This window comes from Homo sapiens, chromosome 3 (genome assembly GCF_000001405.40).
Source record: "Homo sapiens chromosome 3, GRCh38.p14 Primary Assembly".
NCBI lineage: Eukaryota > Metazoa > Chordata > Mammalia > Primates > Hominidae > Homo > Homo sapiens.
The window spans coordinates 46,737,003-46,759,961 of NC_000003.12; the positions used below are offsets into that span (position 1 = coordinate 46,737,003).

At 46.7% G+C, this 22,959-nt stretch overlaps 2 pseudogenes across 2 annotated transcripts; both read right to left on the reverse strand.

The window, feature by feature from the left end:
- Positions 1 to 5,088: 5,088 nt before the first annotated feature.
- On the reverse strand, positions 5,089 to 7,753 carry PRSS45P (serine protease 45, pseudogene; annotated as a pseudogene). Its single transcript, NR_160553.1, has 4 exons — positions 7,641 to 7,753; positions 6,969 to 7,138; positions 5,911 to 6,080; positions 5,089 to 5,581 (listed from the first exon to the last, which is right to left on the reverse strand). The product of NR_160553.1 is annotated as a serine protease 45, pseudogene (transcript).
- An 8,287-nt stretch (positions 7,754 to 16,040) lies between these two features.
- PRSS43P (serine protease 43, pseudogene) lies at positions 16,041 to 19,853 on the reverse strand (annotated as a pseudogene). The gene is made up of 6 exons (NR_160552.1): positions 19,772 to 19,853; positions 19,403 to 19,627; positions 19,040 to 19,196; positions 18,408 to 18,670; positions 17,486 to 17,646; positions 16,041 to 16,919 (listed from the first exon to the last, which is right to left on the reverse strand). The product of NR_160552.1 is annotated as a serine protease 43, pseudogene (transcript).
- Between the last annotated feature and the right edge of the window lie 3,106 nt (positions 19,854 to 22,959).

Below are 22,959 nucleotides of genomic sequence, written 5' to 3' on the forward strand. Positions count from 1 at the left end.
GTCTCATTCTGTCACCACGCTGGAGTGTGATGGTGGTGAGATCATAGCTCACTGCAGCCTCCACCTCCCAGGCTCAAGCAATCCTCCTACCTTAGCCTCCCGAGTAGCTAGGACCACAGGTGTGCACCATCATGCCTGGCTAATTTTTTTTAATTTTTTGAGAGACAAGGTCTCACTGTGCTGCCCTGGTCTCAAGCTCCAGGGATTACAGGCATGAGCCACTATGCCCAGCCCAAGGTCTGTATTTTCAAAGGAAAGAGCTCCTGGGTTGAGGAAATCTAGGTATGTTTAACCTGGCAGGGTGGCTTCCTAAGAGGAAGCCACTTGCAGACTTGGGTCTTCACAAATCAGCAGAATGAATGACATCTGGGGACACCTCGTCACCACTCCCCCGAGGTCTCCCTTCCCAAGGATCCCAGGCTCCTCACACTGTCCATGCAGGAAGCTCCTGCTCCACCCTGCAGCCAGTGCTGCCAAGGACACGGAGTGACGAGGTTGTTCACACACTGCTGGGGAGATAAACTGACATGACCACTATAAATGACTGTTTGGAATCATTTAGCAGAGCAGAAAGTGTGCCTACCCCACAACCCACAGTTCTACTCCTGGCTTCATGCCCTAGAAACTGCACAGATGCAGCAGGACAGGTGCAAGAGACTGTTCACTAGCAGTGCTGCTGGGAAGGGTCCCAGCTGGAAACTACCCAACTGCCATCCAAGGTGCAACAGCTACGCGGAATCTTCAGCGGCAGTGAGAATGGATGAGCTGCTGCTACACCTAGCTGGAAGGTGACGCTCATAACCCTATTCTGAGTGAGACAATTCAGATACAAAAGTCAGATACAGTCTGTGTACTGTATGAAATTAAAAAACAGGCAAAACAAACTAATTTTAGAGCTATATGGTAGAAAATCAAGGAAATTATTATCTGTACAATCAAATTCCCTCCAGGGGGAAAGACATAGAAAGGGAAAGAGGGAGAAAGAAAAGAGAAACTTCAGAGAAGAGAAACGCTATCACTCTTCTGCCTTTGCAGAAAATAATTCTTTGGGGGAAACAACCAATCAATAAAACAAAACAGGATAACTGAATAAAGATCAGGCATATCTGTTATCACAACCAATGTGAATGCATAGAATTCTACTTTTAAAATAAAAAGATCTTCATGTTGGGTAGAAAAAAACCCATCCACATACTACTTATTAAAGACACACCAAAAACAAAGTGGCATAAATAAGGTGAAAGTAAAAAGATGTGGCTGGGCTTGGTGGCTCACACCTGCAATCCCAGAACTTTGGGAGGCTGGGGTGGGTGGATGGCTTGAGCCCAGGAGTTCGACACCAGCCTAGCCAACATAGTGAGACCTCGTCTTTAGAAAAAATTTAAAAAATTAGCCAGGTGTGGTGGCATGCACCTGTGGTCCCAGCTACCCGGGAGGCTGAGATTGTGGTGAGCTGAGATCACGCCACTGCACTCCAGACTGGGCAACAGAATGAGACCCTGTCTCAAAAAATATTAATTTTAAAAATTAGAAATTAATTAAATTTTTAAAAGATAGGCAAAAATATATTTATATGCAAGCAAAAGTGGCAATGGCAATGTGAATCTCTAAAAATGATTCAAGACAAATTATTTAAACAGAAAAAGAAAGCTATTTTGTGTTGAAAAAGGCACAAATTGCAATATGTAACATCATAAAGTTCTGTCCATCAATAAAATAACATCAAACATATGAAACAAAATCAATCAGCAACACATGAGAAGCTGGAAAATCTCTCTTGCAGTGGGAGAGTCTTCTCCAACTCACTCTGTCCTTGAGAGACGGAATAGCTATAAACTACTAATAAAATAATACTAATAATTAGAGCAATACGTTATTTAAAAACCTTACTGGGTGTGCCCAAGGCAAATTCATAACCTTAAAGATATTTAGTATTGAATAACAGAGAATGAAAATAAATGACCTAAATACTCAAATCTAAAAACTATAAAAAGTGGAAAATAAACCAGAGGAAAATCTGAAGGAAAAAAAGTACAAAATATAAAATTGTACCTCAATCAATTAGAAGAACTGCCAAAATTAAGAATGAACTCTGATCTGGATCTTTGAAAAAACAAGTAATGTTACATAGGACAAAAGGCATGTTTTATATTGATAGGGTGTAACCCACTAAGATAATACAGCAGGCATGAACCCTGTATTCCTAACAACACAGCTTTGAAACATAGAAAGCAAGAATTGTGCAAGAAGAAATAGGCAAATTCTTAAGTTTTGCAGTAAACTTCTTAGAAATCAACAAATTATGCAGCCGTAAAATATGTCAGGTGTTGAGATAATTTGAATAACACAATCAACAAGCCTGATCCAATCAGTTATGGCTCAAACTTCGTTCTAAAACACACACTTTTAACTATTTTAGGTTCAGGAGTACATGTGCAGGTTTGTTACTTAGGTAAACTTGTGTCACAGGGGTTTGTTGTACAGATTATTTCATCACCCAGATACTATGCCTTGTATCCAACAATTATTTTTTCTGCTCCTCTCCCTCCTCCTTTGCATCACTAAAACCAAGGAGGCTCCAGGAACAATGCTGCTGTTGTTCCCCTCTATGTGTCCATGTGTTCTCATCATTTAGCTCCCACTTAGAAGTGAGAACATGTGGTATCTGGTTTTCTGTTCCTGCATTAGTTTGCTAAGGATAATGGCCTCCAGCTCCAACCATTTTCCCGCAAAAGACGTATCTCTTTCTTTTTTATGGCTGCATAGTATTCCATGGTGTTTGTGTAACACATTTTCTTTATCCAGTGTCATTGATAGGCCTTTAGGTTGATTCCATGTCTTGGCTATTGTGAATAGTGCTGCAATGAACACTTGTGAAAACACACACTTTCATTTCAGACGCACAACACTCACTAAGACTAACCAAATACTAAGCCACAAATAAAACCTCAAAAAATTCAAAAATGCAGAAATAATTAAATTCATACACAGTCGTGCATCACTTAATGACAGGGATACAGTATGAGAAATGCATTGTTAGGCAATTTCATCACCATGCAAACATAAGACTGTGCTTACACACGCCTAGATGGTACATATATATTTTTATGTATATGTATTTTTTCATCAGGAAAACCAAATGTCCCAGCACCATTAGTGAATGTCAGTCATTCCCTTACTTGTCTGCAATGCCACTATCAACTACCATATATCAGGTTTCTATATATGCTCCATTATAATCTTATGGGACCACTCTTGTATATGTGGTCTGTAATCGACTGAAATGTCATTATGTGGCATATGACTGTAGTGATATAGAGAAAAAGAAGCCCTCATTCCTCCCAAGAACTACCCATCAGGAAATTAAATAACACCCTTCTATATAACTCTTGGACTAAATAAGAAATATACTGTGAAATTATAAACAATACAGAAATGAATGACAATGAGGCCAGTACGTATCAAATCCTGTGAAATATGGCTAAAGTGGGACTCAGAGGAAAATTTATGGAATTAACTGAAAATACTAGAACACAAAGAACTCTAAAATAATGAACTAAGCCCACTACTCAAGAGGTTACAAAAAGAGCAATAAAATAATCACATGGAGGCATCCACTTCTCATTTTGGTATATTTTCTTCTACATTTTTTTCTTAAAAAAGAAGATTATGAGATATATATATATATCTAGATATATATATCTTTGAAATATATATATATATTTGAAGGCAAATTCATAACCTTAAAGATATTTATTATTGAATAACAGAGAATGAAAATAAATGACCTAAATACTCAAATCTAAAAACTATAAAGAGTAGAAAATAAACCAGAGGAAAATCTGAAGGAAAAAAAGTACAAAATATAAAATTGTACCTTAATCAATTAGAAGAACTGCCAAAATTAAGAATGAACTCTGATCTGGATCTTTGAAAAAACAAGTAATGTTACATAGGACAAAAGGCATGTTTTATATTGATAGGGTGTAACCCACTATATATATCTAGATATATGTATCTATATATACAGATATATAGACATATATGTAGATATATATCTCTCTAGAGATATATGTAGATATATATCTCTCTAGAGATATATGTAGATATATATCTCTCTAGAGATATATGTAGATATATATCTCTCTAGAGATATATGTAGATATATATCTCTCTAGAGATATATGTAGATATATATCTCTCGAGAGATATATGTAGATATATATCTCTCTAGAGATATATGTAGATATATATCTCTCTAGAGATATATATAGATATATGTAGATATATATCTCTAGAGATATATATAGATATATATCTGTATAGCTCTAGAGATATATATAGATTTTTTTTTTTTTTTGAGACAGAGTCTCACTCTGTCACCCAGGCTGGAATGCAGTGGCGCAATCTCGGCTCACTGCAAGCTCCGCCTCCCAGGTTCAAGCCATTCTCCTGCCTCAGCCTCCCGAGTAACTGGGACTACAGGTGCCCACCACCACGCCCAGCTAATTTTTTGTATTTTTTAGTAGAGACGGGGTTTCACCATATTAGCCAGGATGGTCTCGATCTCCTGACCTCGTGATCCACCCGCCTCAGCCTCCCAAAGTGCTGGGATTACAGGCATGAGCCACCACGCCTGGCCTATGAGCAATAATTTTTAAGAAAAAAATGTAGAAGAAGATATACCAAAATGAGAAGCGGATGCCTCCATGTGGTGGGACTCCAGGGGACGTCTATTTTCTTTAGGCTCGACTATGTTTTCTAATTTTCTACAATAAACATGCACTACTTTTATAATTGGTTTAAAAAAAAAGAAAGCTGCTTTTGGAGTACTATTGTGAGTCACTCCTACTGCAGCCTAAAAGCCTGCATGTTTCAACTGTTCCCTTAACAGCATGCCCACTTTACAGACAAGGAAACTGAGGTCACAGGCCCAGACTTTTTCCTTAAACCCCAGCACTAATGATACAGCAAAAACCAGCAGTCCCCACTCCAGACAGCCTCCTGGCAGACTTAATTCCAGGAAGCTCTGCCATCCCACCCACGGCCAACCCCCAGGACTACCCCAGAAAAGAGAAAAGAGTCAGCTCAAGTTTGCACATGTTTAATCCCTGCTCTCCTGGTCCCAGATTCCAGAATCCTTCTAGGCCACACTTCCCTTCTCCTGCTCACCCAAGGCCTAGTCATCCACCACACTTCTCCTCACCGGGATGCCAAAGCCAGACCCATTCTCCCAGGGGTTACTCTTCCCCACCCTGACTCTTTTTGAAGATGGACACATGACCTTGGTCAAACCATCTGGCCCCATTCAGCAGAGGCAAGGCAGGAGGAGGAAAAGGTAGGGAGGTCAGGAGCCCATCTGGGGCTGCAGCAGCCAGCACAGGAACAGGAGGCAGGCAGAGGCACAGGGACCTGAGAAGGCTCCATTGCTCATTTGCTTCTTGATCCATTTGGTGTATTTGGTGATGCGGGTGTACACACCTGGATTCTGTGCCTTCACGCAGGCCTTTTCCCAGGACAACACCCCAGCCAGAATCCATCTGCCCTCAACTTCACAAGCCAATGGCCCTCCAGAATCCCCCTAGGCAAAAAGAGAGGAGTGATGGAGGCTGTGGGTCCAGCTGGGCCTGCTGGGCCCTGTGGACCCATGCCCACCCTCTGAGCTCTGCTGGGAGGGTTTTCACTCCTCCAGGACCTCACTACTTGGGGTCCTCTTTTGGCTCCTCAGTTGGGACCCACACCCCAGAATCAGGGCAAAAGTCAGCATCACAGGGGAAGGAAGACAGGAGCAGAGCACTACTGGGTGATGGTAACGGAGGGAGGCCGGGCCAACCCCGCCCCAGGGAACTGCCTCCACCCAGGAGTGGTTCCCAGCAGAAGCAGAGCTACCAGAACCTCCCAGAAACTCACATAGCACAAGTTTTCCCCATAATTGGTGGCACAGATCATGTCCCCCAGGACAAGGGGGACAACTGGGGGGAAGAAGGACTTCTTGTAATGCCGGTCACACCTCTTGTTGTCCATGATAAACACCTCAGCCTCCTGCAGCTCTGGGGTCAGCATGGAGTTGGCTGTGGAGCCTAGCAGGGTGAGCAGTGACCTCTCACTCCACCCAACCCTGACCTCTGTCCAGGGTCCTGTCCCCTTCACCCTGGAGACTCAGCCCAGCCACCGCCTGTCATACCTCCAAGCCCTCCCCTCCTTCACCGGCCCCTCCCCCTGCAGTGCAGGCCTTGTCTGAAAAGCCCCCGCCCTCGAAGGCTCTGAGTCCAGATCCCCTTCTTGGGAAACTTCTGCTTCTGAACCAAACCAGCCATAACTCAAGTCTCAGTGCAGCCGCTTCCAATCTGGGGCCCAGCCCCGCGCTGCTTCCCTGCAGACTCTCAGCTCTGCTGGCACGGCCGCTCTCCCCACCTTCGTTAACACTCGCTCCTCCTCCAGGGCCTCAAGGCAGTCCCTCTGCCCAGAGCTCATTCCAGATCCCTCCCAGCTGGATCTCAAGACCACCAGACAAGAACTTTGCCTTGTTCTCCTCAGCCTGTGCCCACACCCACACCCAATCATGACTTCCCTCCAGGCAGGGCATGCATTTCTAATCCCAAGGGCTGGGTGCCGACACTCAAAGTGTGTCAAGTGAAGGAATGAGTGAATGCCCAGCTCTGAGCTTCTATAAGACACAGATGGTCATGCCCAGCCCAGGCACTACCAGGCCTGAATGAGGTGTCCACATAAACAGTGACAATGGTCACCACATGAGGAGTGGTCAACACATTCAGAGAACCAGGTCCAGCAGGAAAGGCCCCAGAAGGAAAGGAGTGTGCTCTCGGTGGTACTGCACCCACCCCCCATCCCATCCTGCTCATCTGAAAAGCGCTGCTTAACCTGGCTCCAGCCAGTCACCCAACACTGCGTCCCAACCTTCAGGTTGAAATTGGGCTCCGGGAGGCAGATGGGCTGCACGTACTCACTGAAGGTGACAGGTGTTTGAAGGTGGACAAGGGCAACGTCACCCATGATGAAGGCCCGGCCCCAGTACTTGGGGTGCATAATGATGTCCCTCACAGGGACCCAGAGGGCCCTGCTGAAGTTCATGGGCTGCAGCTTGGAGGTGCCAAGCACCACTGAGTACTCTTTGGTGCTGTGGGAAACAGAGAGCCCCACCTGGTAGGTATCAGACTCCCAAGCAGGAACACACTCCTACCTCCCCGTGGCCCTACCCCTTTAGCAAGAGTCCTGCCTCCACCCAATCTGCCTAATCCAGCCTGAGGGCACTGAAGATCTCAGAGCTGACTGCCTCCTCATTCATCATTCAAATTGATTCAAGGTGGCCTGGTCTGTGTGTTGTGCGTGCAGGTGTGGAAGTGTTGGTGTACACATATGCTCTCATGCGTGATGGGGTAGGGGGCGTGTTCTGGGTTTTCCTGTTGCTCAGCTTAGGGTGCAGTCTTTGTTGCTAGGGGCTCCCGCCCTAGCTCAGTCCCTGGCCCCCAGGAGACCCCGAGCACAATTCTCACTTATCCCAGATGCCCTTCCCACTCCCTACCTCCCTCCCACACTGTTTCACTCAGGAAATGAGGAAGCTGGGCTGGGCCCATGGTAGCTTGAGGTCTCCAAGCCCTGCACACATGGGCCATACTCACCCTTGGATGCAGTGGGCCGCAGTCACCACCCAGCTGGGGTCAATGAGGGCCCCTCCACACACGTGCTCATTTTCCATCCGGAGGCTCACCTCCCAGGGCCAATGGCGGGTCATTTCCAAATCCTCCGACCACCAGGGCTCACCACAAACTTCAGGAAGAAGTGTGCCAGGGAGACACAGGAACCACATAGAGGAGGATGAGAAAGACTGAGACCTAGATGCCCTACAGGGCCAATTTGCACAAAGCTGTAAACTCGGGGCCTCTTCCCATTTCAGAGATGGGGAGAGTGAGGGTGAGAGAAGGGCAGTGGCCTGCCCAAAAGCACTGAGCTTGACGGAAAGTGACAGTGACAGAGGTAAAAAGCATCAAGGCAGAGACATGGAGAGAGAGAGATTCTGAGTCACAGGGAGCCTTCAGCCCAGGACCTCAAAACAAAGGCAAGCAGAGAAGGAGCCCCAAGGCAAGCAGAGAAGGAGCCCCAAGGCAAGAAATGCATTTTCTTGCATCTGGGGAAGTTCCTCCGCCACTTCTGAAAAGCTATAATGCTTGCTGCATTTCTTAGATGCAGAAGGCCTGTGTCCCCTACACTGCTAAGAGTCAAGAAAAGCTCCTGACTTCTGTGTCAGAAGTTTTCACATTGAACATTCAAAGTGCCAGCAGGGAGACCCCAGAGGCCCCTCATTCACAGGTCACACACTCAGTTTTCACACAGTTCTATCAGTCAAGTTATATGGTTGTATGAACGTATGAAGAAACACAGATGCACGCATTCTAAATAAAATAGTAGCTCATGTTGTATTTTTAAAAAACAATGCACCATGATGATTAAGGATTGGCCCAGGAGTGCAAGGGTGGTTCCACATTGAAAGAATTCTCAGTGGATTCTCCACATAAAAGGTTCTAACAATCTGAAGACAGAAAGACCATGTGCTTTCCTCCACGGACACAGAAAAAGTCATTTGAAAAATTTAACACATATTTATAACTTACAAAAAAACCCCTCTTACTTAAACTAGAAATAGATGGAAAACCCTTAACTTTACAAAAGTTGGATATACCCCAAACTTACAACAAACATCATACAACACTAAAGAACAGGCAGAAAAGAACCTATCCCACCAGAGACCAGGAATAAGGACACTTTGTGGAAGGAGGGCAGAGGAAATAATTGAGAGAACGCAAGGGGGCTGCTGGGTGCTGGTTTAGCCTTTTTTTTTTTTTTTGGGACAGGGTCTCACTCTGTCACCCAGGCTGCAGTGCAGTGTCACAGCTCACTGCAGCCTTGACCTCCCAGGCTCAAGCGATCCTCTCACCTCAGCCTCCCAAGTCACCAGGACTACAAGCAGTTGCCACCACACCTGGCTAATTTTTAAAAAAATTTTTATAGAGACAGTCTTGCTATGTTGCCAGGGCTGGTCTCAAACTCCTGGGCTCAAGCAATCCTCGCACCTCAGCCTCTCTACATACTTATTCTACTTTTTAACCTGGGTGGTGATAACACAGGTATGCTCACTGTGTGACAATTCCTTCAGCTGGGCCTTCATAATTTGTGCATTTTTTTTGGAATGCATATAATACTTCAATAAAACAATTTCCTTTTAAAAACAATAATGTTTTTTTATCCCAGCACAACCAACTAGAAAATATACTGAAGTAACATACATTTTCAGCAGCGAAAAAATGATAAAAGTTCATAGGAATTAACTTACCTAACACCACATAAGACTCCTGTGGTAATAAATTTAAAACTCTAATAAAGGACACAGAAAATGATCAGCATAAATGGCAAGACAGTCCCTGCTCTTAAAACAACAGCTAAGGCCTGGCGCGATGGCTCACGCCTGTAATCCCAGCACTTTGGGAGGCGCAGGCAAGTGGATCACAAGGTCAGGAGTTTGAGACCAGCCTGGCCAACATAGTGAAACCCCGTCTCTAGTAAAAATACAAAAAAATTAGCTGGGCGTGGTGGCGGGCACCTGTAATCCCAGCTACTCGGGAAGCTGAGGCAGGAGAATTGCTTGAACCCAGGGGCCGGAGGTTGCAGTGAGCCAAGATCACGCCACTGAACTCCAGCCTGGGCAATAGTGCAAGATTCTGTCTCAAAAAAAAAAAAAAAAAAAAAAAAGACCAGCTAAACATTTTAGATGTAATTTTTCCAAAATTAATCTATAAATTCATTTTGTAAGTTAGAATTTTTAAGAAACTTGATAAACTTATTCTGAAACTGAAACAGAAAAACAAAGGTCTATGAATAGTTCAGTCTTTGAAGAAGCACAGCAAAGAAGGGTCATTTGTCCTAGCAGATATTAAGACACATGTGAAAGCCATAATAATAAAAACAATGTGGTACTGTCACAAGGACAGACAATGGAAAGTGACAATGGAAAAGAATAGAGAGCTTGAGATTGTTTCATGTGCTGCACAAACTTGATGTAAAGAAAGGAGCCACCACTATCAGTGGGTAAAAGAAGGACTGTTGAGTACATGGTGTTGGGAAAACTCGCTCACTATAAGAGAAATAAGAAAACCAAAACTGGATTCTTTGCTAATAGCACTTGAAGATCTAAAGGTAAAAGGTAAAACTGTAAAATAAATAAATCATGTGACATGGGGTAGGAAAGGACTCCTTAAAACCTCAAACACAAACCATAAAGCATAAACTGATTAACGTGATTATATCAAAATCGAGAGGTTTTGGCCCGGGAGCAAAGTTAACAGACAGAGGACAGATAGGGAGGAAATATTTGCAATATCTAAAATGAATACAAGACTTTATGCAAGAAACTTTAGGAAACCAACAAGAAAAAAAAAGATAATAGGCAAAGGATAGAGACAAGCAATTTATTAGAAGAGGAAACTCAAGAAGCCAACAACATATTGAGACATGATCAAACTCATCAGTAATGAGAAAAATGAAAATTAAATCAATAAGTGATTTTTCAATCTATTAGATTGGCAAAAAACATAAACGCAGGATCACACTAAGGGTTGGTAGGTCTGTGGCAACCTATACACCTTCATGCACTGCTGAAGTAGGAGTTTAGAGAACTGACCAAATTAGAATATGGATAGTAGATAAAAGTACGGTATGAATGTAAACTTTTGAAGTTGTTAAGCACACTGTAGTTATGGAAGAGAATATTCTCAGAAAATACATACCAAAGTATTTAGCAATAAAGAGCCATGCTGTATGTTACCCTCCACTGATTCTGAAAAAAATTATATATGTATGCGTGTTCCTTGTACTACTTGTATTTTTGCAGTGTTTTGTAAGTTTAAAATTATTTCCAAATTTTAAAAAGTCTTAATGAGGCTGAATTAAAAGGGATAACCGAAAGAGATACAGAGAACATACCATTTATGTAAATTAAAAATACATGCACACAAGACAGCAATATGTATTTTTACAAGAGCACACACAAACAGAAAGATCCCCAAGAAAGATTAAGCGGGTGGAGAAGGGGAATGGGAGTGGAGCTTGGACAGAAGCAAGGATAACTAACTTAATCCATCAGTCATCCATTCTATAATGAATTAGGGTAGAGTTCTGGCAGGACCGATGAGAATAGAGGCCCATAAACTGAAGAACAGGAGTAACCCAACGCTCCATGCCTAAGGTGTAAGGAAAAAGACAGGAAACCCAGAAGAGCTGGGCTCTACTGACACTGCCACAAGGCCCAGGAAGTTCTATCTGCAACTGAATGGCTTAGAGCTCAAAAGGTTCTGTGTGCAAAAGGGTCTGAGATGAGGCCTGGGCTGAATTCCAAGAGGCTCAGCATTCTTATGGGAGGCCAAGATCCTCTTTCCTCTAGACTGTTAGGTCTATATGTTCTGGTAGCTGCAGGCTGTTCTTTAGAAAACAGACCCCTTAGACCAAATGCCTGCTTCCTACAAACCCAGCACCACTGTCTATGTGACTCCCTTCAGACATACCCTCCCAAGAGCTTCAGCTTTTCCTGCAGCAGGGTCTCACCCTACCTACCTGGATTGGTTGTGTCCTCTTTATAACCTGGAGGAGAAAAGAGGGACAGAGATGAAGCAAGCATTCACGACAGGATGACAGCAAAGAGGTGCATTTTTAAATTAGTTCATTCATTCATTCACCAAATAGGTCCTAATCTCCCACTCTGTTCCCAGCCTGGAGCCAGAGGCTGGGGAGACAGAGGTGTGTCAAATAGAGCCTACTCTCAAGGAATACAGTGTCCAGCAGGGTGGACAGAGGTAAATACACAACCACCTGCATGAGATCAGTGCAGGGACAGGGTGGCAGGCTTCAGGGGAGCCCAGAAGAAGTGGTGGACAGAAAAGACCACTTCAGTGGGAGGAGGGCTTACTGTGCCAGGTGTTAAAGATGAGAAGGTAAACAGAAATGAAAAGTGATCATCACATTCCTTGCAGGAGAAACATCGTCGTGTATGCCAGACTGCAGAGGATGAAGGGCAAGACCTGTGATGGCAAGAGATGAGCCAGGGGAGGAGAGTCAGGCATCAGTCATGAAGGCCTCGAAAGCCTGGCCAAGAAGCCAGGGTGAGACCCTCTGGGAAAAGGGAGATCAACAGAGGTATGACTGAGCCAGGCTTGCATAGGCAGCCCAGATATTAGACAGGAAGATGACAAGACTGAGGCACTGAGATCCCACCAGAGGCTCTGCAGAACCAAGGCAAGAAATGAGGAGGTCCGAATGAGGAAGTGGCTGTGAGAACAGACACGGTGAGCTGTCTGGGGGACTTAGGCACATGGGTGGGTCTAGGATCACACCGCAGTTTCTGATTTTGGAGAAAAGTGGCTGCCATCCACTTAGTTAGGAAACAATGAGAGAAGTCAGTTGGCAAGAAGAAGAAGACCTCAGCATTGACCCCAAGGGGTTGAGATGTTCCTAGGTCTTTCAGGTAGAGATGTCCAGGAGGCAGCTGCACATCCAGACATGTTTTATGAGGCACCATCACATAAATGGCAGCTCAAGTGAGTTCACCCAGGGAGCAGTTAAGAGGGGAGGAGCAGGAAAAAGAGAGCAGCTTAGGGGACACCAACACGTCTGGGATGAACAGAGCACGGTGGCATGGGACAGACACAGAGGAGAGGGGGAGTTACCCTTGAGGTAGAGGAGAATCAGGAGACCACAGAAAATGAAAGAGGAGGGGGTGGTACAAAGGTCAGGGATGATCAGGGTGGAGAGAGCCCAGGAAGGAACTAAGGGTTAAGTGGAGAGCGAGGAGGCACTGGCAGGAAGCATGGAGTGAAGACATTTGGGAGGTCTCGCAGTGAAGGGGCAAGAGATGGGGGAGAAAAATCAGCAAAGCAAAAACAAGAGGATACCTATGAGAGAGGATGGTGGAGGGAGTGTCGCACAGGGAGAGCCCACACAGCAGGGCACAGGTGAGCCGCTGGCCCTGCACCAGAAGCAGGCCTCTCTGACTCCTAAAGAAGTAGGTGAGGGTGGTGTTGAGCAGTCCAGTTTGGAGGGGCCCCTGTGGGTTTGGGGATTGGGTTCAGGAAGACAGCACCCAAAGCCTGTGTTTTCTGAGGGAATGATGGGCTGCTAGGGAGGCAAGCTGGGTTGGAATAGAGGATCTGGGAAGAAGGTGAATTTTAGAATATTCCTGTAGTGGATGGGGACCAAGAATTTTCCTGGGCCAAAGAGCATGTCCAAGTGGGGTCTCCAGTGGGGCTCAGCTCCATGAGAAGATCAGAGCGGGGGGTGGAGGGGGAGCCTATGAGAGGCCTGAGGGCGGCTCGGGTGGTAGGGACATTAGCCACGGTGTCCAGACTGGCAGCGAAAGGGGTTCCCGCACCGCTGGTTCAGGGCGCTGTAGGACAGGTGTGCCCTGACGGAGGAGGCCAGAGAGGGCAGGAGTTTAAGATCCTGGAATCGCCCTGGCGAGGTCCTGGGCGCGAGTAGTAGAGGAGAGCTGACCGCGGGGTGCGTGGGCCGCAAAAATCCCCGACCCAGGAGTAGGCAGCCACACCCCGGGCCAGTCCCCCGCCTCCAAGGCCAGGCACGGAGCTGGAGGCGGAGCAGGGCTGGGGCCGGGGAGAGGGAAGGTAGAGCTGCGGAGGAGCGCCCACCTCACCCGAGCTCAGCGGCAGCAGAAAAAGCAGCGGCAGCAGGACGCGGCGGCTCAGGACCGAGGGCCTGGAGGTTCCGGGCCCCACGCCCGGCCATGAGGCTGGAGGGTCGAGGCCATGAGGCTGGGGGCCATCATAAGGCCATGAGGCTGGGGGATCGAGGCTCGACCGTGAGACGGCCATGAGGCTGGGGAGGTGCCACCTGGCGGCTGCGGAGACGGTTCCCGAGAGCCCGGCATGTGCCTGGCGTCTGCACACGTGACCGCACTGTAGCACGTGATGGCGCCGGGAACTCCCGACAGCTCCCCGCAAAACTGGCGCATTTCCCTCACCTCTATCTCCTGCCTGTTCTTGAGGACGACCTGGGAGTCCTGAGTCTGTGATTGCTCCCAGGGTGGCGGGCCCCATGAAAGCACCCCCAAGGGTTTTAAGTTGGTGACAATGCCCAGAGAACCTGGCCGATGAAGGTGCACCGCATCCCTGGACTACTAATGGCATCCTGTTGCCCAGCCTCTGACTACACCCTTGGTTCCCTGGTCCCAGCGCACTGGAGAGTTTCACAATTACTCTTGGTTTGAGAATCTGGAAAGATGGAGAAAGCACAAAAAAAGGAAAAGAACTGTAAGGCTATGGAATCAGAGAAGATGTCTTTGAAAAAGTGATATTTGAGCTGGATCTAAGACTACTGTAAAACAAGGACTCTTGGGGGAGACCAGACAAAGGAAAGACATGTGTCCTCTTCCACAGACAACCAGTAAGATCGTGGCAGCTAAAAGGAATGGTGGCTTGTGCCAGGCCTTGGGCTTCCACAGGGATTTTTTGCAGAAGGATGCTGTCTTTGGATCTGCTAGGCATGGCAGAGATTGGGAAGTGATCAGCTGGACTTGGAGCCACATTCCCTCCCCAGCCTGGCACCTAAGTGGGTCCACATGAATAGAGGTGATGTGTGCCACTTCCATGCCAAGGCAGTCAACAGGAGGTTGCCTTTTCTATTCTTGTTAATGCAGAGCATTGCTTCTCAAAGTGAGGTCTCCAGACCAGCAGTATTAGCATGAGCCAGGAACTTAGAAATGTACATTCTTTAGGTCTTTCAGGTAAATGTACATTCTTGTTAGAAACGTACATTCTTTTAAGGTCTTTCTACCTGAAAGACAGAGAATGTAGGCCCCGTCCCAGACCTACAGGATTGAAAACTCCAGGGGTGGAACCAGGAACCAGCAATCTGTAATTTTGTTTTAAGAGATGAGGTTTCCTCCAGTCCCCCAGGCTGGAGGGCAGTGGCATGATCATATATCTCTGCAGCCTCAAACTCCTGGGCTCAAGACTTCTTCCTGCTCAGCCTCCAGAGTAGCTGGGACTACAGGCACAGGCCACCATGCCCAGCTAATTTTTTTTAAGAGACATGCTACATGCTCCTGGCCTCAAGGGATCCTCCTGCCTCAGTCTCCCAAGTAGCTGGGATTATAGGGATAAGCCACTGTGCAGGCCAGTAATCTGTATTTCACAAGCCTTAGGGGATTCTGATGCAGGTAAAGCATTAACTACAGGACTGAGAGCAAGCCACGAGATGGAGAAAGCTACCTGCTGACCAAGAACGCTGTAATGGGATGTTCTAGGGAAAAAAAGTTAAATTTGTTTTATTAATCTATGAATAAATCAGTGGTTTCTTAAAGCAGGTAGTGCTATATTCATTAAGAGACTGGGTTTGATGTAAGCTCTCAGTCTCTTGGCCTCAGCCTTCCTCAGGCAACAGAAGGGACTGATACAGACTGTCCACTGAAGCCCACCCATACCTGGGGGTTAAACATTCAACCCTAGAAGGGCAAAGGGCAAGAGGCTGGGAGGGGGTTGATCAGTAGCTAGACAGAGAGACTCCAGGACACCAGACTTTGTAATGAGGGGAGAGAACCTATGTATACTACAGTGAATCTCTCTTGCCCTTCTCCCGGTGGGAACGCCTATCTTTGGTAACCAAGTGGGAGGGAGCAGCAAGGAGAAGCAGTAGATGAGGAGGAATGTTTCTCACACCCGAACTTCACTCCTGGGCCTACTTCCAGTGTCTCTTGATCCCCTATCCCTAACTGTAGAGACTGTTAAGCTCAACTACAGAGCTCCCTGCAGAGATGCTGATGGCTATAACAGGCATACAGGGAACAAGACCCATTGGCTCAAATCATCCCTAGAGCTCATGTCTGAGGAAGCAGGGCCTCACCTGTCCTTCTACATTTTAATAAGAACCACAAATAGCTTCCTTAGTTAAATGGGAAGCCAGTTCTCTATAGAGTATGTTATATTCAACCAAACTCGCCAGTGAGCAGAGCTTCAGAAACAGGAGACTCTCCAAACATTTATTCAGTTGATTTATGAAAACTCCACACTTCATAACTGCCTCAACACAACTTGTGGTGTCCCTGAAAGTGGCCACTAGGGCACTGAGGAAGGGGGTGCCAAGAATGGGTTGCTCCAAAAGAACTAGTGTGGCAGAGGCTGTCCACTCACAGATGGATCCACACTGGGCTGCAGGGGAACTTCTCCCAGCCCCAGACAACTGAGCCAGAGTGGAAGTCCCAGGCCTCACACGTCTGCAGGGACCTGGTAACGCCTCCTTCACTCTCTGTGAGCAATCACCCAGCTGGCTGGTTTCACAAAGTCTCAGGTGAGAGCCCTGAAACCAGAACCACATCTAACGCTTGCTTCACCGTTGATGATGTCTCTTCTTTGATAGATGTTCCTCCAGATATTGACGAGTCACCGTGGCCCACCTGGCAGAGCAGCTGGCCCTCTAGACCAGAGCACCAGGCAGGGGCACTTTCCAGGCCCCAGTCTCCCTGCCATGCTCTATTGTACGGATCTCCAGAGGGCCCGTGGATTCCAACTGGGATTTGCGGAAAGGGCATTGAGAAGGAGTGGGAAGTTGGTCAGAGGAGACACCTAAGTGTGAGACTCAGAAACAGCAGAAGAGTGGAATGGGGTCTGATCACGAGGTCACCAGGATGCCCAGGGGCATCACCAGACACAGGACTAGGATGAGGAAGTCTTTGAATTCAAACAGGAAGCTTGTCTCAGGTGATCAATAATCCATTTCTTGTAGAAACTAACTTCTGTGTAAACTCCAGGGTATCCTTTGCGACCGCAGCCAATGCCCCAGCTCACAATCCCCACCTGGACCCATGTGCCATTTAATTCACAGACCAGGGGCCCCCCAGAATCTCCCTGGAAAAAGAAAGACAGTCACTGTAGGAAAGAAATAGGATCCACATCAGAGCAGGCTAATTGCACTGCAATGCGCTACAGAGCTAGGCACTCAGGGGGCTTCCCCAGGAACCCCTAAGACCCTCCTAGCCTTAGGTATCTGTCAATATGAGATCTGAGAATTGACAATTTCCAATAAACCAAAATCATGTACCTACTAAAAAGGCGTGTTCCAAAAAACGGAATATACCTAATGAAATCGTGCCTACTCTGAGACAATAATGAGTCAAGTGCTAACCTGAGTACACTGCCTGTCACACAGAAGGGTCTCAAAACATGGAGCATGTATTGTTGGTGGGACCTGCCTGATTCACCCCTCCTCCCACTCCAGGCTGTGTCAGTTGCTCTCTCCTGAAGGATCAGGTAGGCTGCCCAGGAGAGCCTTGGTGGCTTGTCCTCACATCCCATTACCATGAATAAGGGTAAACAGAGGGGCTAGGAGATAACCCAGGCCCTACTGGCTGGGAATGAGGAAGCTTTGAGGAGACAATTGCAATGCTGAGGCAGCAAGACGCCCATGAACTGACCTGACAGGCATCCTTCCCTTGGTCATTATAGCCACAGACGGTCCCCCTCGTGACCATTTTACTCTTGGATATATTCTTGTTCTTGAGCATCTCACAACATTTCTCATGACGCATAATGTTTAGCTCAGTCTCCTGAAGAACAAGTGGCATTGGTCCTGAAACTGCAAAGACACAATTTACAAGAGAGTGGATCTTCACAAAGGGATAGAACAGGAGCCCCCAGTGCCCACTCTGAGTCCTGATTGGTGTGTTTAACACAACTGCCCAAATTAAAGGAAGTCAGGGCAGTGGACAATGTCACCACTTGACATAGAAGGAAACTCGAGCTTAATGTTGACATGGAGAAAGGAAAGGACAAGAAGCAAAATCAAGACAGTAAAAGGAAAAACAGATCAGGAGAGGGAGAGGCAAGGCCTTGTCAGCCTGAAAAATGGCAACCAAGTATCTGTCACTCTGAGTATCAGCAGAAATGACAGGCTGTCCTGTGCATCAGTAAAGCATCTTTACTTTCTAGAGCAGGATCACAGACTCTTAGACAGGTAGTGCCTCTCCCTAAGGATAGGAGTCCCCACAGCCTCACTGGCAGGGTTGCTCTGGCTTGGCCTACACTGCTAGGGTGAAGAAGTTCAACCCATCAAGGCAGGTCCTTCTAGTGGGGGTTGGCTCCTATTGGCAGACAGCTCATCACCCTGAGCTGAAATTTACCCTGAAGAGAACCCACTACACTTGGCCCCCAAGCCCCAAGGTCCCAATATGACGACAGAAATTCATAACATAGTTGTTAAATTACTTCCTGGCAGCATCTTCTCCACCCTCCTCCCTCACCCACCTGCTAGAAAATGGCCTCCCTGCCTCTCCCAATAGCTTGCAGGCCAAGCCCAGCCCACCAGACTGTCCCACCTCAGCATCCTGCCTGTCTCACCACTCTCTGACACTTGGCCCCATCCAGTCACCCAGCACTCTGTCCCAGCTTCCACTTCAAAAAGCTTTTCGGGGAGGCACGCAGGCTGGATATGTGAGGAATAATTCACAGAGTAGGCGAGCAGAGCAAGGGCAATGTCGCTTGTCAAAGTGGCAAAATCAAAATTGCTAGGAAAAATGATGTCTCAAACTGGGATCACCAGTGCCTCTTTGGAACCAGCATGCAAGTCAGGGTCTCCCAGCTTCACCTTGTATTCCAAATTACTGTTGAGAGAAAAGATGGCCTTCACAGAGATCCTGGGGGGACGTCTATGCTCCCCTTCCACACCTTCCAGGTGCTTCCAAGCCTGGTCCCATCTTCCTATGCCAGCCAGCAGCCACCTCCCTCCCTCCCAACCACATCCCCTCAGGACCCCTGACCACTTTAGCCAGTGGTCCCCAGATCGGCGGCGGCGGCAACACCCGGAAACTTGTTAGAAATGCAAATACTCAGGTCTCACCCAGACTGGATAAAAACTATGGGGCTGTCACCCCCTTTTACAGATGAGGAAGAGGAAGCTCAGGGAAGGGGACAGACTGGCTCCAGGTCCCACAGCCTGATCAGGGCCCAAGCTCTGAGCCCCAAACACTCACCTAAAGACACAGTGGGCGGCAGTGAGCACCCAGCGCCTGTCGATGAGGGAGCCTCCGCAGTGGTGTATGTTGCTGGTCTGCAGGCTCACCTGCCAGGGCCACTTCTTGTTTGGGGCTGGCAATCCTCCAATCATCCTTGAAACACGGTGGCCACAGGCTGGTGGGCTCAGTAAAGAGAGGGGACTGGAAGTGAAGCCACTACCTTCCCACCACCCCACCAGGCTGCCCAGGGCGGAGGCGGGTTATCTATCCTCTCTCTCAAATCATCTAGGTCAGGGTCTGACCCTCAACCTCCCTGAGCCAGGCTGTGTCCCCTTTGACCTACCCCGCAGGCCAGGACAGATCTAGCACCAGAAACAATACCCTGAGAAAACTGCCTTCCAAGGTCAGAGATTCCGTCGGATTCCAAGGCTTCTCCCACTGTAGATGCTGAAGTAACCCAGGATCCTGGAGGCCCTGCGGTCGCTGGAGACCCTGGAGCTACAGAAGTTTCTGGAATTTTGGGGAATTTCGGGTGCACAGGAGACGTCCGGGCTTCTGGGCTTGCCGGGGTCATTCTGGAATCCTCCTCGGGTCGGTATGGCTCACCTGGTGAAGACGGGGACCCGCGGCGAACAGGAGCTGGCCTGGCGGCGCCTCCTCCGCGTCTGCCTGTTCCCACAGCGCCCCCACTGCCACCCCACACCCAACGTGGGTGCAGCCCAGCCCCGCCCTGTCCACTCCCAGCCTCACTGAGCAGGGGTTGAAGGAACTGAAGCCAGATCAGGAGGTGGAGGCTCAGGCGTGTGCCTCCACGGCCCCTGCGGAGGCCGTCCTGGGACGCCATGGGCACCGTCAGCACGCCTCGTGGTGCCCCCTCGCGGCGGCTCCGCCCTGGTCGTGGTGTTGGCGGGACCCCAGTGTGCCGGCGGAGACCTGAGGCGGCTCTCGCGAGCCCCGGTCACTCAGCAAAAACTAATCCGGGTAGTGCTGTGAAGGAAGTGGCTTTCAATATGTAATTCGTCCTGTGAACCTTAAGATAGAGATTTTCCTGGATTATCCAGTTGAGTGTAATTTTTTTTTTCTATGGAGTTTCACTCTTTCGCCCAGGCTGGAGTGCAGTGGCATGATCTCAGCTCACTGCAGCCTCCACCTCCCAGGTTCAAGCAATTCACCTGCCTCAGCCTCCCAAGTAGCTGGGATCCCAAGCGCGGGCCACCACGAGCGGCTAATTTTTATATTTTTAGTAGAGACGGGGTTTCACCATGTTGCCCAGGCTGGTCTCAAACTCCTGACCTCACGTGATCCTCCCGCCTCGGCCTCCCAAAGTGCTGGGACTATAGGGGTGAGCCACCGCACCCGGCCCAAGTTGAGTGTAATCTAATCACTGGATACCCTTCAAAGCAGCAAAAAATACAGTCTACCCAGTGGAAGGTTTCAAGCAAAACAGAAAGAGCCTGCTTTCCTGCAGCCTGGGGTTCCAGCTACTCCGAAGGCTGCGGCTGAAGGATCACTGCAGCCCCGGGGTTTGCGTACAGCCTGGACAACATATTGAAATGCCATCTCTTTAAAACAAAACAAAACAGAACAAAGTATGATAAATAGAAAACACAAAACAAGATGGCTCTAATCAATCCTAATACAATAGCAATTGTGTTACATGTAAATGTGTTGGAAAAAAACAAACAAAACAAATACTTTACAATTAGAGAAAAAAGATATCATCCAGAAATATACTATATGGAGAGACAAATTTAAAACAAAAAGATACAGATAAATTGAAAAAGGGGGATAGAAAAAGAAATCCCAAGCAAATCTGAAACACAAAGTAAGTAGTATAGCAATTTTCTTCTTAGATCATAGTATTTAAGGCAAGATCATGATAAAGGGACAAAAAGGAATCTTATTATATAAAGTATAAATAAGAAATGACCAAGAAGATGCAGAAAAAAGCCTATAATACTCAAAGAAACAGGTGACCAATTAATGGGAGACTGGAGTTTTTGATATGTTACCCTTAAGAAACTGCTGGATTACACAGACAAAATTAAGCAAAGATAAAGAAGATTTGACTATTAATAATCTTCACCTTAGCTATATAATAAATTTTACAACTACCAACAGAGAACACTTGCTCAATGACCACTAAGGGAACATTCAGAAACGATGCCACAGAGAACAACAAACTCCAGGGAATGATTGGTATATAGATTCTGTTCTTGAGTCACAAGTCAATAATATTAAAATCAATTTTTAACATATCAAAAAATCCCATCTTTCTGAAACAAAAACAAAACCCTTCTAAGTGGTTCTTCTATAAAAAGAAAATCATGAGGGAAATAATGAACATTTAGAGGTGACTGCCAATGAAAACACTACATATCAAAGCATATGTGATGCAGATAGACCAGTCCCAGAAAGTAATTTACAGCTTTGACAAGATCAGAAAAGAAAGACTGATAGCAAATGAGATAAACATCCAACTCAGAAAGTGAAAAGGATCAATGGAGTAAACTCAAAGAAAGAATTTGCGACGAAGGAGAAAATAATGGAAAAAGGAGGCAGAAATCAATAAAGTAGCCAGGCACAATGTCTCAGGCCTGTAATCCCAACACTTTGGGAGGCTGAGGTCGGAGAATTGCTTGAGCCCAGGAGTTCAAGACTATCCTGGCAACATAGTAAGACCCTGTCTCTACTAGAAATAAAAAAACCAGCAGGTGTGGTGGCGTGCACCTATAGTCCCAGCTACTTGGGAGGATGAGACAGGAGAATCGTTTGTGCCCAGGAGTTCAAGGATACAGTGAGCTATGATCAGGCTGCTGCACTTCAGCCTGGGTGATAGAGTGACACCCTCTCTCTTAAAAAAAAGGAAATCAATAAAATAGAGAAAAAATTGTGGAGAGAATTAGCACCATCAGAATTTTGTTATTTGAAAAGCCTAATAAATTAAACAACATTCTAGTAAGATTAAAATAAAAGAAAAAAAGCAAATACAGAATGAAAAAGGGAAAGCAACTTAAAGAGATATTTTTAAATTACCTATGATAGATATTTTTAATTATAAAGGAATATTGGCTGGGCACTGTGGCTCATGCCTGTAATCCCAACACTTTGGGCAGCTGAGGCAGGATTGCTTGAGCCCAGGAGTTTGAGACCAGCCTAGGCAACATAGTGAGACCCTGTCTCTGAATCAAATAAAATAAATTAGCTGAGGATAGTAGTGCATGCCTGTAGTCCTAGCTACTCAGGAGGCTGAGGCAAGAGGATCACTTGAGCCTAGGAGGTTGAGGTTATAGTAAGGTATGATTGTACCACTGCACTCCAGCCTGGGTAACAGAGCAAGACCCGGAAAAAAAAAAAAAGAAGAAAAGAAAAGAAAAAGAAAAGAGAGAGAGAAAGAAAGAAAAGAAAGAGAAAGAAAGAAAGACAGAAAAAGAAAGAAAGAAAGAAAGAAAGAAAGAAAGTAAGTTATTAAATGCTGACTTCTCCTTCTAGCCGTGGAATATAAAAAGACTGACCTTCCCACCTGAAACAACCAAAAATGGACAAACATCTGAAACAATAGTTTTTAAGATACTGGACACCCACCAAAAAAAATAGAATCCCTAATAGATGGGAAACAAATGGTGTAAGCCCTGTGACTGCCTCAGGTTTATGACTTGAGAGAATTTCCAGGCCACAGTACAGAGAAGGAGAACGTAGGCAGAATCCAGCAGGCTCCTGGATGTGAGCAGGTATTGCTGAGAGGCCAGGAACATGGAAGCGGCTGTGCTGATAAAATACTGCAGAGGAGAGTGGCACAAAGAAAGAACACAAAGATCTGCAGAGGCTCCCTGCTGTAGTTTGGATGTTTGTCCCCTCCACATCTCATGTTGAAATTTGATCCCCAGTGTTGGAAGTGGGGCCTAATGGTATGTGTCAGGGTCATAGGGGTGGATCTC